Source organism: Homo sapiens, chromosome 1 (assembly GCF_000001405.40).
Source record: "Homo sapiens chromosome 1, GRCh38.p14 Primary Assembly".
In the NCBI taxonomy this organism is placed as follows: domain Eukaryota; kingdom Metazoa; phylum Chordata; class Mammalia; order Primates; family Hominidae; genus Homo; species Homo sapiens.
In genome coordinates, this window is record NC_000001.11 from 174,202,674 (window position 1) to 174,218,130 (window position 15,457).

Sequence of the window (15,457 nt, forward strand, 5' to 3'; positions counted from 1 at the left end):
TTTTGGCTTTTGTTGCCATTGCTTTCTGTGTTTTAGACATGAAGTCCTTGCCCATGCCTATGTCCTGAATGGTATTGCCTAGGTTTTCTTCTAGGGTTTTTATGGTTTTAGGTCTAACATTTAAGTCTTTAATCCATGTTGAATTAATTTTTGTATAAGGTGTAAGGAAGGGATCCAGTTTCAGCTTTCTACATATGGCTAGCCAGTTTTCCCAGCACCATTTATTAAATAGGGAATCCTTTCCCCATTGCTTCTTTTTGTCAGGTTTGTCAAAGATCAGATGGTTGTAGATGTGTGGTATTATTTCTTTTGCTGTGCAGAAGCTCATGAATTTAATTAGATCCCACTTGTCCTTTTTTTCCTTTATTGTGATTGCTTTGATGTCTTCGTCATGAAATCTTTGCCTGTTCCTATGTCCAGGGTGGTATTTTTTAGGTTGTCTTACAGGATTTTTATAATTTTGGGTTTTACACTTAAGTCTTTAGTCCATCTTGAGTTAATTTTTGTTTATGATGTAAGGAAATGGTCCACCTTCAGTGTTCTGTGTGTGGCTAGCCAGTTTATCCCATCACTATTTATTGAATAGGGAGTCTTTTCCCCATTGCTCATTTGTATATGATGTAAGGAAATGGTCCATCTTCAGTGTTCTGCATATGGCTAGCCAGTTATCTCATCACCATTTATTGAACAGGGAGTCTTTTCCCCATTGTTTTTGTCAGCTTTGTCAAAGATCAGATGGTTGTAGGTGTGTGGCCTTATTTCTGGGCTCTCTATTTTGTTCCATTGGTCTATGTGCCTGTTTTTGTACCCGTACCATGCTGTTTTGGTTACTGTAGCCCTGTAGTATAGTTTGAAGTTGGGTAACATGGTGCCTTCAGCTTTGTTATTTTTGCTTAGGATTTCTCTGGCTGTTCAGGTTCTTTTTTTGGTTCCATATGAATTTTAAAATAGTTTTTCCTAGTTCTGTGAAGAATGTTGTTTGATAGGAATAGCATTGAATCTGTAAATTGCTTTAGGCAGTTTGGCCATTTCAATGACATTCTATCCATGAGCATGGGATGTTTTTCCATTTATTTGTGTTGTTTCTGATTTCCTTGAGCAGTGTTTTATAATTCTTAGTGTAGAGATGTTCTACCTCGTGGTTGGCTGTATTCCCAGGTATTTTGTTCTTTTTGTGGCAATTTGGAATGGGATTGCCTTTCTGATTTGGCTCTTGGCTTAGCTGTTGTTGGTGTATAGGAATGCTAGTGATTTTTGTACATTGATTTTTTTTTTTTTTTTTTTAAAGATAGTGTATCTCTCTGTTGCCCAGAGTGCAGTGGCACTAGAGTGCAGTGGCACAATCTCGGCTCACTGCAACCTCCACTTCCCAGGTTCAAGTGTTCTTGTGTGTCAACCTCCTGAATAGCTGGGATTTCAGGCATGTGCCACCATGCCCAGCTAATTTTTGTATTTTTAGTAGAGACAGGATTTCACCATGTTGGCCAGGCTGGTCTCAAACTCCTGACCTCAAGTGATCTGCCCACCTCAGCCTCCCAAAGTGCTGGGATTATACGTGTGAGCCACTGTGCCTGGCCTGTACATTGATTTTGTATCCTGAAACTTTGCTGAAGTTGTTTATCAGCTGAAGGAGCTTTTGGGCTGAGACTGGGGCTTTCTAGATATAGAGTCGTGTTATCTGTAAACAGAGATAGTTTGACTTCTACTCTTTCTGTTTGAATGCTCTTTCTTACTCTTGCCTAATTGCTCTGGCTAGGACTTCCAATACTATTTTTAATAGGAGTGGTGAGAGAGGGCATCCTTGTGTTGTGCCGGTTTTTACAGGGAATGCTTCTAGCTTTTGACCGTTGAGTATAATGTTGGCTGTGGGTTTGTCATAGATGGCTTATTATTTTATTCCTTCAGTACATAGTTTACTGAGAATTTTTAACATGAAGGGGTGTTGAATTTTACCAGAGGCCTTGATATGGTTTAGCTCTGTGTCCCCATCCACATCTCATATTGAATTGTAATCCCCAGTGTTAGGGGAGGGACCTGGTGGGAGGTGATTGGATCCTGGGGGCGGATGTCTCCCTTGCTGTTCTCATGGTAGTGAGTGAGTTCTCACAAGATCTGGTTGTTCTCACGAGATGTGGAGTGTAGTACTTCCCCCTTCACTCTCTCTCTCTTTCCTGCTCCTCCATGGTAAGATGTGCTTCTTTGCCCTTCGCCTTCTGCTATGATTGTTAAGTTTTCTGAGGCCTACCAGCCATGCTTTCTGTACAGCCTGTGGAACTGTGAGTCAGTGAAATCTCCTTTCTTCATAAATTACCCAGTCATGGGTAGTTCTTTATAGCAATGTGAGAATGGACTAATAAAGGCCTTTTCTGCTTCTCTTGAGATAATCACGTGGTTTTTGTCTTTAGTTCTGTTTTTGTGATGAGTCACATTTATTGATTTGTGTATGTTTAACCAACTTCACATCCTGGAGATGAAGGCTGCTTGATTGTGGTGGATTAGCTTTTTGATGTGTTGCCGGATTCGGTTTTCAAGTATTTTGTTGAGGATTTTTGCGTTGATGTTCATCAAGGATATTAGCCTGCAGTTTTCTTTTATTGTTGTGTTTATCAGGATGGTGCTGGCCTCATAGAATGAGTTGGGGAGGAGTCCCTCCTCCTCAGTTTTTTGGAATAGTTTCTGTAGGAATGGTACCAGCTCTTCTCTGTAGATCTGGTAGAATTCAGCTGTGAATCCATCAGGTCCTGGGATTTTTTTGGTTGGTAGACGTTTTATTACTGATTCAATTTTGGAGCTTGTTATTGGTCTCTGTGGGGAATCAGTTTCTTCCTGGTTCAGTCTTGGGAGGACATATGTGTCCAGGAATTTATGTCTCTTTTAGGCTTTCTAGTTTGTATGCATAGAGGTGTCTGTAGTAGTTTCTGATGGTTATTTTTTATTTCTGTGGGGTCAGTGGTAACATTTCCTTTGTTATTTCTAATTGTGTTCTCTCTTTTCTTTATTACTCTAGCTAGTGGCCTATGTATCTTACTAAGTTTTTCAAAAAACCAACTCCTGGATTCATTCATCTTTTAATTGTTTTTTCTTGTCTCTATTTACTTCAGTTCAGCTCTGATTTTGAATACTTCTTTTCTTCTGGTAGCTTTGGTGTTGATTTCTTCTTGCTTCTCTAATTCTAGAAACCCAATTTAAACTAATTTGTGCAAAAATAATTTGTTGAAAGGAATATTTTAGGGAAATAAAAAATGGAAGATTTATTAAGACTGAGGATGGGGACAATTGGAGCTAGGCCTCAGGAATGACTCAGGGATATGACTTGGTTAAGACCCTTTTTCTTGTCTCCGTCTAGGGTTTACTTTTCTCTCTCACTGCACACTGTCATTCTTCATTGAGGAAAAACATGGCTGGTCACTAGTCCAAAAATCTTAGAAATTGGATTAATTGATCTAGCTTAGATTCATCTATTTGGCTGTGGGGTTGACATTTTTATAAAAGCTATGTGGTTTAAGTAGAGAGAAGGCTTATTCGCAGAATAAGATGTTTGAGAATTATTGTTGGACAGATAAAAATAGGTATCCATTAAAGTAATGTGAATTAATAAAGTTCTTTTGTCCCCTTTTCAGAGCTAGAGACATACTTGTGTACATGCATACATATTGGTTTGGTTCTTGCTTGGGAACTAGAGTAGTGGATAGACTGTTTAGTAAACAAAAGTCATGGTAATTTTTTCCTGGATTGGCTCAGTTTTTCAAAGCACAGAAGAATTTTGGTTGGCAAATGTTGTTCTATAAAGTATTTGTCCATTTTCTTAGTGTAAGTTAAGAATAGTTCCCTTTCTACTTTTGTTATGGATCTCCTACAGTCATTCTAATTCTAATGCCTGATAGTCTTTGCAGCCTATCCAATCTTGACTCACCCTTATATTTTTAGGTTTCTATTTTAGCTCAGGAGCCACTTGAAAATGAGTAGGCACAAACACGTGATCTAAAAGCAAGAAGGAGGCTAACCACATTTGGCACTGAAGGAAATTAGATCACGTGCACTGTGATTGCACACTTTCGAATATGTTACGTTATTTTGGGAAGAAAATAGCTTTCAGTTAGACATTGCTGAATATTGTTGTACTATTTCTTGTATATGTGAAAATTGTAGTTTTAGGCATCCAAGTGAGGTATTAATTTAGATATCATTATTGCTCATTTAGCAAAAATGATGTGGCATTAAAGTAAGAATTATAAGCTATTTCACTGGTAGAATTGCTGTAGGTATGGGGGAGAAGTGTGTCTTTAAGTGATTTAATTTAATCTAAATATTTATTGAGCTCCTTTGAGTTTAGAAGGGGATGGATAGAAGAAACAAAACACTGATACATACCAGATTTTCTATAATGCTGATAAGCTTCTGTTCCTTATTTCCGTATATCTTTAAAATGCCCTGAAAGTGAAAATATTTATGCCTATATTTCCATTATTTTTTGCACCTGAAGAAACATAAAAATCTTTTGTCAGATTTTATATTCTGATTTTTAGATTGCAACAGAGCAGTCTTAACTAAATGCATTTTAAAGCAGTTTTGCATTTGTACACTGCTCTGTAGTACATGCTGCGTTGAAATGGATGTATTAGTCTGAAGTTCACTAGAACAGTGAGCTTCATATTATTTAAAAGACCTCTGAGAATATTCCAGCTGTTATTTCTTTTGATTTGAAATAATAGCAGATTGCCATACATAAAGACAAAGTTAACATTTTGTTATAGCACACTGCTGCATAATAGTAGACTTAGTAAATTATATTTTGAAAGGACGTTTTGGAATGTAGGTCAGGAGCTGACTGGATTCTTCTGGAAATCACATAGCATGAGAATCTTGAGTCAAGTCAGTACTTGACTTTAGAACTCATGCAGTCCAACTTCCTACCTGATGCTGGAATCCATCTTGCTATCCCAAATAATTCATTTGGTTATTAAAGAAGTATTTATTGAGGCATAGTGTGTGTAGATACTGTCCTGGGGATGTGTTGGCTAAAATAAAAATAGACTTGGTCCCTGCCCATGTGCAGATAGGTCTTTTTTAGAAGGCTATTAATTATTGTTGATTCAGTTTCTTGAAAAATATAGGGGTATTCAAGTTATCTGTGTCTCCTGGTGTGAATTTTGGTACTTTGTGTCTTTTAAGGAACTGGTCTCCTTCATCTAAGTGGCCGAATTTGTGGATAAAGAGTCTAACTTGTAGTTGGGTGTTCAGTGCTCAATCAGTCTCAACAAGTTATTTTTTGAATCAAGTACTCAAGTTGGGAAGAATTGACAATTTAACAACTTTGAATTTCCTAATCCATGAACATTGAATATCTCTACATTAATTAGATCTGATTTAATTTCCTTCCTCAGTGTTTTTTAGATTTCTGCTTACAGACCCTATGCATATTTTGTTAGATTTATACCTAAGTATTTCAATTTTTCCCTTGCTATTGTAAATGATACTGCTTTTCTAACTTTCAAATTCCTATTGTCCATTGTATGTAGGGAGGATAGTGACTTTTGTATATTGACCTTGTATCCTCCAACCTTACTGTACTTGCTTATTAGTTCTGAGGGTTTTTTTTTTCTCTTTTTGAATCTTTAGGTTTTCCACATTGACAATCATGTAATCTGTAAATAAAGACAGTTTGATTTCTTCCTTTCCAATCTGTATACGTTTTATTTCTTCCAATCTTAGGGGGAAAGTGTCTGCTTCGTGATTATTAAGTGTGATGTTTTGTAAATTTATTTATTGGAGGAAATTCCCCTCAATTGCTAGTTTACTGAGAGTTTTTGTTTTGTTTTGTTTTATGAGTGGATGTTGGATTTTGTCAAATGCATTTCAATTGACATGATTATGATTTTTCTTTAGCCTATTGATATGTAGGGTGACATTGATTGGTTTTTGAATGTTGAGCCAGTCTTTCGTACCTGGTATATAATTCTTTTAATACATTGTTGGATATGGTTTTCTAATATTTTGTTAAGAATTTTTGTATTAATGTCATTATAGATATGGATGTATAGTTTTTCATTTTTCTTGTTATCTGGTTTTGGTATTAGAGCAGTGCTGATCTCACAGAATGAGTTAGAAAGTATTACCTCTGCTTCTATATTCTGGAAGATATTGTGGAAAATTGATATTATTTCTTCTTTAAATGTTTGGTGGAGTTTACCAGTGAAGTCATCTTTGGTGCTTCCTTTAAAAATATAGGGCTATTCAGTTTATCAGCTTGGCCATAGTGGGGTAGAACAGCAGTCCCCAACCTTTTTGGCACAGGGGACCAGTTTCATGGAAGATGGTTGTTGTCCACGGAATGGGGGCTGGATGAAACTGTTCTACCTCAAATTATCAGGCATTAGTTAGATTCTTGTAAGGAGCACTCAACCTAGATCCCTCACATGTGCAGTACACAGTAGGGTTCACACTCCTATGAGAATCTAATGCCACTGCTGATTGGATGTGAGGTGGAGCTCAGGCAATAATAATACTCGCTTATGCATTGCGTACCTCCTGCTCTGTGGCCTTGTTCCTAACAGGCCTGGGACCAGTATCAGTCTGTGGCCTGGGGGTTGGGGATGAGGTAGAGCACAAAGTGGAGTCTTTGGGTCCCCTTTTCCAGGCCTTGGCTCTTAGATGGTATTTCTGGACCTGCCCTGGACCAGAGGGGAGCCCTCTGCCCTGAGGAATGAGTCCCAGGCCAGCCAGCATTCACCAGAAACTGACTGAAGAGCCCTTGGGCCTTAAGGGAACATCGGCAGTAGCTTGGAAGTATACCAAATGGGCCTGTGTTGTGGGTGGCCACAGGATAAGGCTCCTCTGCCTGTGGAAACGACAGGGATGAGTGGAAGAATTGTGTCTTGTGGTTTGAGTGCCAGCTCATCTGTAGCATAGTAGAATATTAGGTAGACTTCTAGGTTTTTAAACTCCAGTCCCTGGCTCCCAGATGACACTTCTTGACCCACCTGGGGCCCAGGGGAACTTGTTGCCCTGAGGGGAAGGACACAAACCTGGCTGGCTTTGCTACCTGTTGATTATACAGCATCAAGACCTTGAGCTGCCATAGGCGGTAGCCAGGTAGTGCTTACAGCAGGCCTTTGGTGAGACACAGTGCTGTCCTGACTTTAGGTTTGACTCAGTGCAGTTTCAGTGGTGGTGAAACAGGAGTCTTGTGTCACTCTATCCTCAGCCCCAGGTGGCACAGAACAGAGAGGGAGATTCCATTGGTTTGAGAGAAAGTAAGTAAAGAGAATAAAAGTCTCTGCCTGGTAATCAAGAGAATTCTCCCAGATCTCTTACGCAAGACCGTCAAGGTGATACCTTTGTGAGTCTGCAAGATCCACAGTGTTACTGGGTTTGGATGGAGTGCCCCTAATGCAGATACAGCTTAGATCACAACACCTAAGTCCTTTTGAATGCTAGGAAAGCCTTCCCAAGAAGATGGGTACAAACAAGCCCAGACTGAGAAGACTACAGTAGATACCTAACTCTTCAATGCCCAGACGCAGATGAACATCGACAAGCATCAAGACCATTCAGGAAAACATGACCTTACCAAAGGAACTAAATAAGGCACCAGGGACCAATTCTGGAGAAAGCGAGACAGAAAATTCAAAATAGCTGTTTTGAGGCAGTTCAAAGAAATTCAAGAAAACACAGAGAAGGAATTCAGAATTCTATCAGATATATTGAACACAGATTTAAATAATTAAAAAGAATCAAGCAGAAATTTTGGAATTGAAAAATGCTGTTGACACACTGAAGAATGTATTGAAGTCTTTTAATAGCAGAATTGATCAAGCCGAAGGAAGAATTTGTGAACTTGAAGATAGGCCATTTGAAAATACACAGAGGAGACAAAAGAAAAACAAAACAGAACAAAAACAATGAAGCATGCCTACAGGATCTAGAACATAGCCTCAGAAGGGCAAATCTAAAAGTTATTGGCCTTAAAGAGGAGATAGAGAAAGATATGGGTAGAAAGTTTATTCAAAGGGGTAATAACAGAGAACTTACCAAATCTACAGAAAGATATCAATATCCAAGTACAAGAAGGTTATAGAACACCAAGCAGATTTAAAGGAAGATGATGTCTGCCTCAAGACATTTAATAATCAGACTTCCAAAGGTCAAGGATAAAGGAAGGATCCTAAAAGAAGCAAGAGAGAAGAAACAAATAACATATAATGGAGCTCCATTGTGTCAGACTTTTCAGTGGAAACCTTATATACCAGAAGAGAGCAGCAGGACATGTTTAAAGTGCTGAAGGAAAAAACTTTTACTCTAGAATAATATGTTTGGTGAAAATATCCTTTAAACATGAAGGAGAAGTAAAGACTTTCTCAGACAAAAGCTGAGGGATTTCATGAACACCAGACCTGTCCTATAAGAAATGCTAAAGGGAGTACTTCAACCAGAAAGAAAAGAACGTTAATGAGCATTAAGAAATTATCTGAAGGTACAAAACTCACTGGTAATAGTAAATTCACAGAAAAAGACAGAGTATGGTAACAGTAACTGTGGTGTGTAAACTACTCTTGTCCTAAGTAGAAAGACTAAATGATGAACCAATAAAAAATAATAACTGCAACAACTTTTCAAGACATAGATAATCAAAAAAGATATAAATAGAAACAAGAAAAGATTAAGCAGGGGATAAAGTTAGGGTGTAGTGTCTTTATGAGTTTTCTTCTTGCTTGTTTGCTTGCTTATGCAAAGTGTTGTTATCAGCTTAAAATAATGGGTTACAAGATAGTATTTGCAAGACTCATTGTAACCTTAAATCTAAAAACATACAATAAGTACAAAAAAATTGAGAAGCAAGAAATTAAATCATGCCATCATAGAAAATCACCTTGACTAAAAGGATGACAGAAAGGAAAGAAGGAAGCAAATACCAGAAAACAAGTAACAGTTATAGGAGTAAGTCCTTACTTATCAGCAATAACAGTGAATGTAAATGGATTAAACTCTCCAATGAAAGGATACAGAGTAGTGGCTGAATGTATAAAAAACCAAGACCCACTGATCTGTTGCCTACATGAAACATACTTTACCTGTAAAGACACACATAGACTGAAAATAAAAGGATGGAAAAAGATATTCCATGTCAATGGAAACCAAAAAGGAGCAGGAATAGCTATACTTCTATCAGACAAAATTGATTTTAAGACAAAAACTATTAGAAGAGACAAAGAAGATCACTGTATAATGACTAAAAGGTCAATTCAGCAAGAGGATATAATGATTGTACATATATATGCACCTAACCCTAGAGCACCCAGATATATAAAGCAGATATTAGAGCTAAAGAGAGGGATAGACCCAAATACGATAACAGCTGGAAACTTCAACACATCACTTTCAACATTGAACAGATCTTCCAGTCAAAAAATCAACAAAGAGTAATCAGACTTAATGTGCCTTATAGACCAAATGGACCTCATAGATGTTTATAGAACATTTAATCCAATGACTGAAGAATACATATTTTTTTCCTCAGTACATGGATTATTCTTAAGGATAGACCGTACTTAGGTCACAAAACAAGTTTTAAAACATCAAAAAAAGAAATAATATCAAGCATTGTCTCTGACGACAACAGAATGAAACTTAGGTTGGTGCAAAAGTAATTGTGGTCTTTGCCGTTAAAAAGGCAATTACTTTTGCACCAACCTAATAGAAATCAGTAACAAAAGGAATTTTAGAAACTATACAAACACATGGAAATTAAACAACATGCTCCTGAATGACCAGTGCATCAATGAAGAAATTAAGGAGGAAATTGAAAAATTCATTGAAACAAATGATAATGGAAACAGAAGATACCAAAACATATATGATACAGCTAAAGCAGTACTAAGAGGGAAATTTATTACTGTAAGTGCCTACATCAAAAAAGAAGAAAAACTTCAAGTAAGCGACCTAACAATACTTAAAGAACTAGAAAAACAAGAGCAAACCAAACCCAAAATTAGTAGAAAAAAAGAAATAATAAAGATCAGGGCAGAAATAAATTAATTTGACATGAAGAAAATAATATAATAGATCAACAAAACCAAAAGCTGGTGGTTTGAAAAGTTAATGAAAATTGACAAACCCTTAGCCAGACTAAGAGAAAAAGAGAGATCCAAATTAATAAAATAAAATCAGAGATGAAAAAGGAGGCATTACAGTTGATATTGCAGAAATTCAAAGGATCATTAGTGGTTACTATGAGCAACTATATGCCAATAAATGGGAAAACCTAGAAGAAATGGCTAAATTCCTAGACACATACAATCTATCAAGATTGAACTGTGAAGAAATCCAAAACCTCAACAGACCAATAACAAGTAATGAGATTGAAGCTGTAATGAAAAGTGTCCTAGCAAAAAAAGCCTGGGACCTGATGGCTTCACTGGTGAACTTTCCCAAACATTTAGAGAACTAATCAAATATATTCAAACTATTCCAGCTGGGCATGGTGGCTCATGCCTGTAATCCCAGCACTTTGGGAGGCTGAGGTGGGTGGATCACCTGAGGTCAGGAATTCAAGACCAGCCTGGCCAACATGGTGAAACCCTGTCTCTACTAAAAATACAAAAATTAACTGGGCACGGTGGTGCATGCCTGTAGTCCTAGCTACTCTGGAGGCTGAGGCAGGATAATCACTTGAACCTGGGAGGTGGAGGTTGCAGTGAGCCGAGATTGTGCCACTGCACTCCAGCCTGAGCGACAGAGTGAGACTTACTCAAACTATTCCAAAAAATAGAGGAGAAGGGAATACTTTCAAAGTCATTCTAAGAGGCTAATATTACCCTCATACCCAACCAAAGACACATCAAAAACAAACAAGTAAACAACTGTAGGCTAATATCTCTGATGAATATCGATGCAAAAATCCTCAACAAAATGTTACCAAACAAAACACAGGAACACATTAGAAAGATCAAATTGATCACAATCAGTGGGATTTATCCCAGGGATGCAAATATGGTTCAACAGACACATATCAATCGGTGTGATACATCATATCAACAGAATTAAGGATGAAAACCATATGATGATTTCAGATGATGATTTCAGTTGATGATAAAAAAGCATTTGAAAACATTCAACATCGCTTCGTGATAAAAACCCTTAAAGAACTGGGTAAGGAAGAAATATACTTCAACATAATAAAAGCCATGTATGAGAGACCCATTGCTAATATCATACTGAAGAAGGAAAAGCTGAAAGCCTTTTCTCTGAGATTGATAACACAATAAGGATGCATACTTTCACTGCTTTTGTTTTCAGCATATACTGGAAGTCCTAGCTAGAGCTATCAGACAAGAGAAAGCAATAAAGGGCATACAAATTGGAATGGAAAATGTCAGATTATCCTTGTTTGCAGATGATATGGTCTTATATTTGGAAAAACCTAAAGACTCCACCAAAAAACTGTTAGAACTGATAAACAGATTTATTAAAGTTGCAGGATAAAAAATCAACATATAAAAATCAGTAGCATTTCTATATGCCAACAGTGAAAAATATGAAATTGAAACCAAGAAAGTAATCCCATTTACAATAGCTACAAATAAGATAAAATACCTAGGAATAAACCAAAGAAGTGAAAGATCTCCACAATGAAAACCATAAAACATTGATGTAAGAAATCAGAGAAGACACAACATTGGAAAGATATTCCATGTTCATGGGTTGGAGGAACCAATATTGTTAAAATGTCCATACTTACCCAAAGCAATCTATAGATTAAATGTAATCCATATCAAAATAACAATGACATTCTTCACAGAAATAGAAAAAAAAGTCCTAAAATTTATATGAAACTACAAAAGACCCAGAATAGCCAAAACTATCCTAAGCAAAAAGAACAAAGCTGCAGCAATCACATTATTTGCTTTTAAATTATGCTCCATAGCTATAGTAACCAAAACAGCAAAAACCAGTACTAGCAAGAAACACATAGACCAGTGGAACATAATAGGGAACCCAGAGATAAATCTGTACATCTATGGTGAACTCAGTTTTGACTAAGCTGCTAAGAACATAACACTGGGGAAAGGACAGTCTGTTCAATAAATGGTGCTGGGAAGAATGGATATCCATATACAGAAGGATGAAACTGGACCCCTGTATCTCATCATGTACAAAAACAAAATTAAAATACATTGAAGACTCAAATATAAGACCTCAAACTATGAAGCTACTAAGAGAAATTATTGGGAAACTCTCCAGGACGTTGGACTGGGCAAAGATTTATTGAGTGATACCCTAAAAGCATGGGCAAAAAAAGCAAAAATGGACAAATGGTATCACATCAAGTTAAAAAGGTATCTGCACAACAAAGAAAACAATCAACAAAGTGAAGAGACAACCCACAGAATGGGAGAAAATATTTTCAAACTACCTATCTGACAAGGGATTAATAACCAGAATATATAAGGAGCGCAAACAACTCTATAGGAAAAAGTCTAATCTAATTAAAAATCTAATTTAGATTGGGTGCAGTGGCTCACGCCTGTAATCCCAGCACTTTGGGAGGCCAGGGCGAGTAGATCACCTGGGGTCAGGAGTTCGAGCCCAGCCTGGCCAACATAGTGAAACCCTGTCTCTACCAATAATACAAAAATTAGCTGGGTGTGGTGGTGCACACCTGTAATCCCAGCTACTTGGGAGGCTGAGGCAGGAGAATTGCTTGAACCAGGGAGGTGGAGGTTGCAGTGAGCCAATGTTGCGCCATTATATTCCAGCCTGGGCGACAAGAGCGAAACTCCATCTCAAAAAAAAAAAATAATAATAATAAAATAAAATCTAATTTAAAAATGGACAATAGATTTGAATAGACATTTCTCAAAAGAAGATATACAAATGGCAAAAAGGCATATGAAAAGGTGCTTAGCAACACTGATCATCAGAGAAATGCAAATCAAAACTACAATGAGATATTATCTCACCCCAGGTAAATTGGCTTTTATTCAAAAGTCAAGCATTAACAAATGCTAGTGAGGATGTGGAGAAAAGGTAACCCTGGTACACTGTTGGTGGGAGTATGCATTAGTACAAGCACTATGAAGAACAGTTTATATGTTCCTTAGAAATCTAAAAATTGAGGTTTCACATGATTCACCAATCCCACTGCTAGGTATATACTCCGAAGAAGAGATATCTGCACTCCCTTGTTTATTGCAGCACTACTCACAGCAGCCAAGATTTGGAAGCAACGTTAAGTGTCCATCAACAGATAAAGAAAATGTATACATATACAGTGGAGTACTATTCAGCCATAAAGAAGAAGGAGATCCTGTCATTTTGCAGCAACATGGATGAAAGCAGATGTCATTAGGTTAAGTGAACAGGCACAGAAAGACAAAGTTCACACATTCTCACTTATTTCTGATTGCTAAAAATTGGAATAATTGAACTCATGTAGATAGAGAATTAGAACAATGATTACCAGAAGCTGAAAAGGGTAGTGGGAAGGTGGGATGGGTAAGGGACATGGGGATGGTTAATAGGTATGAAAAAATAATTAGAAAGAATGAATAAAACCTAGTATCTGCTAGCACAGCAGGGTGAATGTAGTCAATTTAATTGGACATTTAAAAATAACTAAGAGAATAATTGAATTGCTTCTAACACAAAGGATAAATGCTTGAGGTGATGGATACTCCATTTGCCCTGATGTGATTATTATGCATTTCATGCCTATGTAAAAGTATCTCACATAACACATTAATATATACACATGTACCCACAAAAATTAAAAATAAAGGAGTAAAAAAGTAATTTTTTAAATAATTTTATACTGCATGTAACCCATGTACAAGTAGTGCCATTACCTTGTAACAGGATATTTCCAATTCCTCCCTCTCTCCCCCTCCCCTTTTTTTTTTTGCCATTGCTGTCATGTTTTTTTTTTTTGTCCATGTGGTATAATCATCCAATACATTTATTCTTCCTTTTATCACATAGATCCACATTTTTGACCTATATAATTTTCTTTCTGTCTGAAGAACTACTTTTAATCTTTCTTTCAAGCCAGATATGCTGGCAATGATTTTTCTTGGTTTTTGCTTGTTTTGGAACTTGTGTGATTAAGGAATTATAATGAGAAAGTGATGGGGGCAAGGGTGTATTGGGCCTTGTAAGTCTTGGGAAGCAGTTTGAATTTTATTTAAATTTTAGTGAAAAGGTTTTGGTCTGGAGTTTTCATGTAATCTAATTTATTTTCCGAAAAAAAATTAAATAAATTGGCAGCTTTGTGAACAATGACGTAGATTGAGGGAAGAAGACTGGAAATAGAAGATGGGTTAGGAGGCTTTTACAGTAGATAAGAGCATTGTTTGGACTAGAGTGGTAGTAGTAGTAGACAGAAAAATGGATAGATGTGAGTCTTATTTTGGAAGTGGGTCTGACATGACTTGCTGATGTGAGGAGTAAAGAAGTGGAGGTGAATCAAGGATGATATCCAGGTTTCGTGTTCAAGTAACTTTGTAGAAGATAGTGGTGTTATTTACTGAAATGGCAAATCGGGACTGGAAACAAGTTTGGAGGAGACATTAGGAATTCCATTTTGGTCATGTTTCATTTAAGATACGATAAGACTTCCACATGGAAATATCAAGTAGAGAGGTGAATTTCAGGGCAGGAATTTAGAGAAGGTATTTGAGTTGGGATAGAAATTTGGAAGACTGTTAGCCTGCAGATGGTATTTTCGTCCATGACAATGACAGACATTACTTAGAGTGTGTGACAAGGGAAAAGGTCAGGATCTGAACTCAGGGAATTTCTAACATTTAGAAATCAGGTAGAGGAGCAGCAACCTGAGAAGGACTTGAAGGATTGACCACAGAAAGACATCTGGAATATGTGGTGTGTTGGCAGTTAAGGATTCATCGTGCAGTCTGGAAGAGTAAAGACCTGGCTTGTAACACATTCTGCATTTTTAGAAACAAAATATACAAAGTGAGAAAAAAACCTTCAGAGGACAGATGAATGTCGCTTGGGTTTTAAAAAGGAAGGGTGTTAACATGCATAACAGAAATAAATGATGGCTAGCTAATTACACTGGTCCAGGAGTATGGTTATTCTTTATTTTGATATTCTTGAAATTTTTGATTTTTTATAAAGTTGGAAAGTAATTACTTTTTAAAAGATACACATGTAACTTGAAGCTAGACTCATTCTTTTTATTGCCAAGAGTAATGGTGTTAGTGTCACCTAATGGCAAAATGGAATATTGCAGCTATACTTATAGGCTATAATGAAAAGGTAACCTAATTAGAAAGAAAAATAACATTTCTGGGGGGATTTTAGGCATGGATCAGTAGACTTACTATGGCTTACAAGGTCCCGTGTTCTTTAGCCCTAGCCTGCTTGTCCTGCCCCTCTATCACATTACTCATTTGGTCACTGAGCAGATTGTGTAATAGTAGGGTTCTTTTTTGTCTTT

At 37.0% G+C, this 15,457-nt stretch overlaps 1 protein-coding gene across 12 annotated transcripts in view, besides 2 other annotated features; it reads left to right on the plus strand.

Moving 5' to 3' along the window:
- The window catches only part of RABGAP1L (RAB GTPase activating protein 1 like), an 835,789-nt gene that overhangs the window by 43,154 nt on the left and 777,178 nt on the right, over positions 1-15,457 (plus strand). The gene's annotated exons all lie outside the window — the stretch shown is intronic.
- Positions 2,265-2,314: an enhancer, noted in NCBI's record as "active region_2121". NCBI's record gives its function as "activates an Ori minimal core promoter by ATAC-STARR-seq in GM12878 lymphoblastoid cells {active_cell/tissue: GM12878}" and the evidence as "EXISTENCE:reporter gene assay evidence [ECO:0000049][PMID:35858748]".
- Positions 6,867-7,006: an enhancer, noted in NCBI's record as "active region_2122". NCBI's record gives its function as "activates an Ori minimal core promoter by ATAC-STARR-seq in GM12878 lymphoblastoid cells {active_cell/tissue: GM12878}" and the evidence as "EXISTENCE:reporter gene assay evidence [ECO:0000049][PMID:35858748]".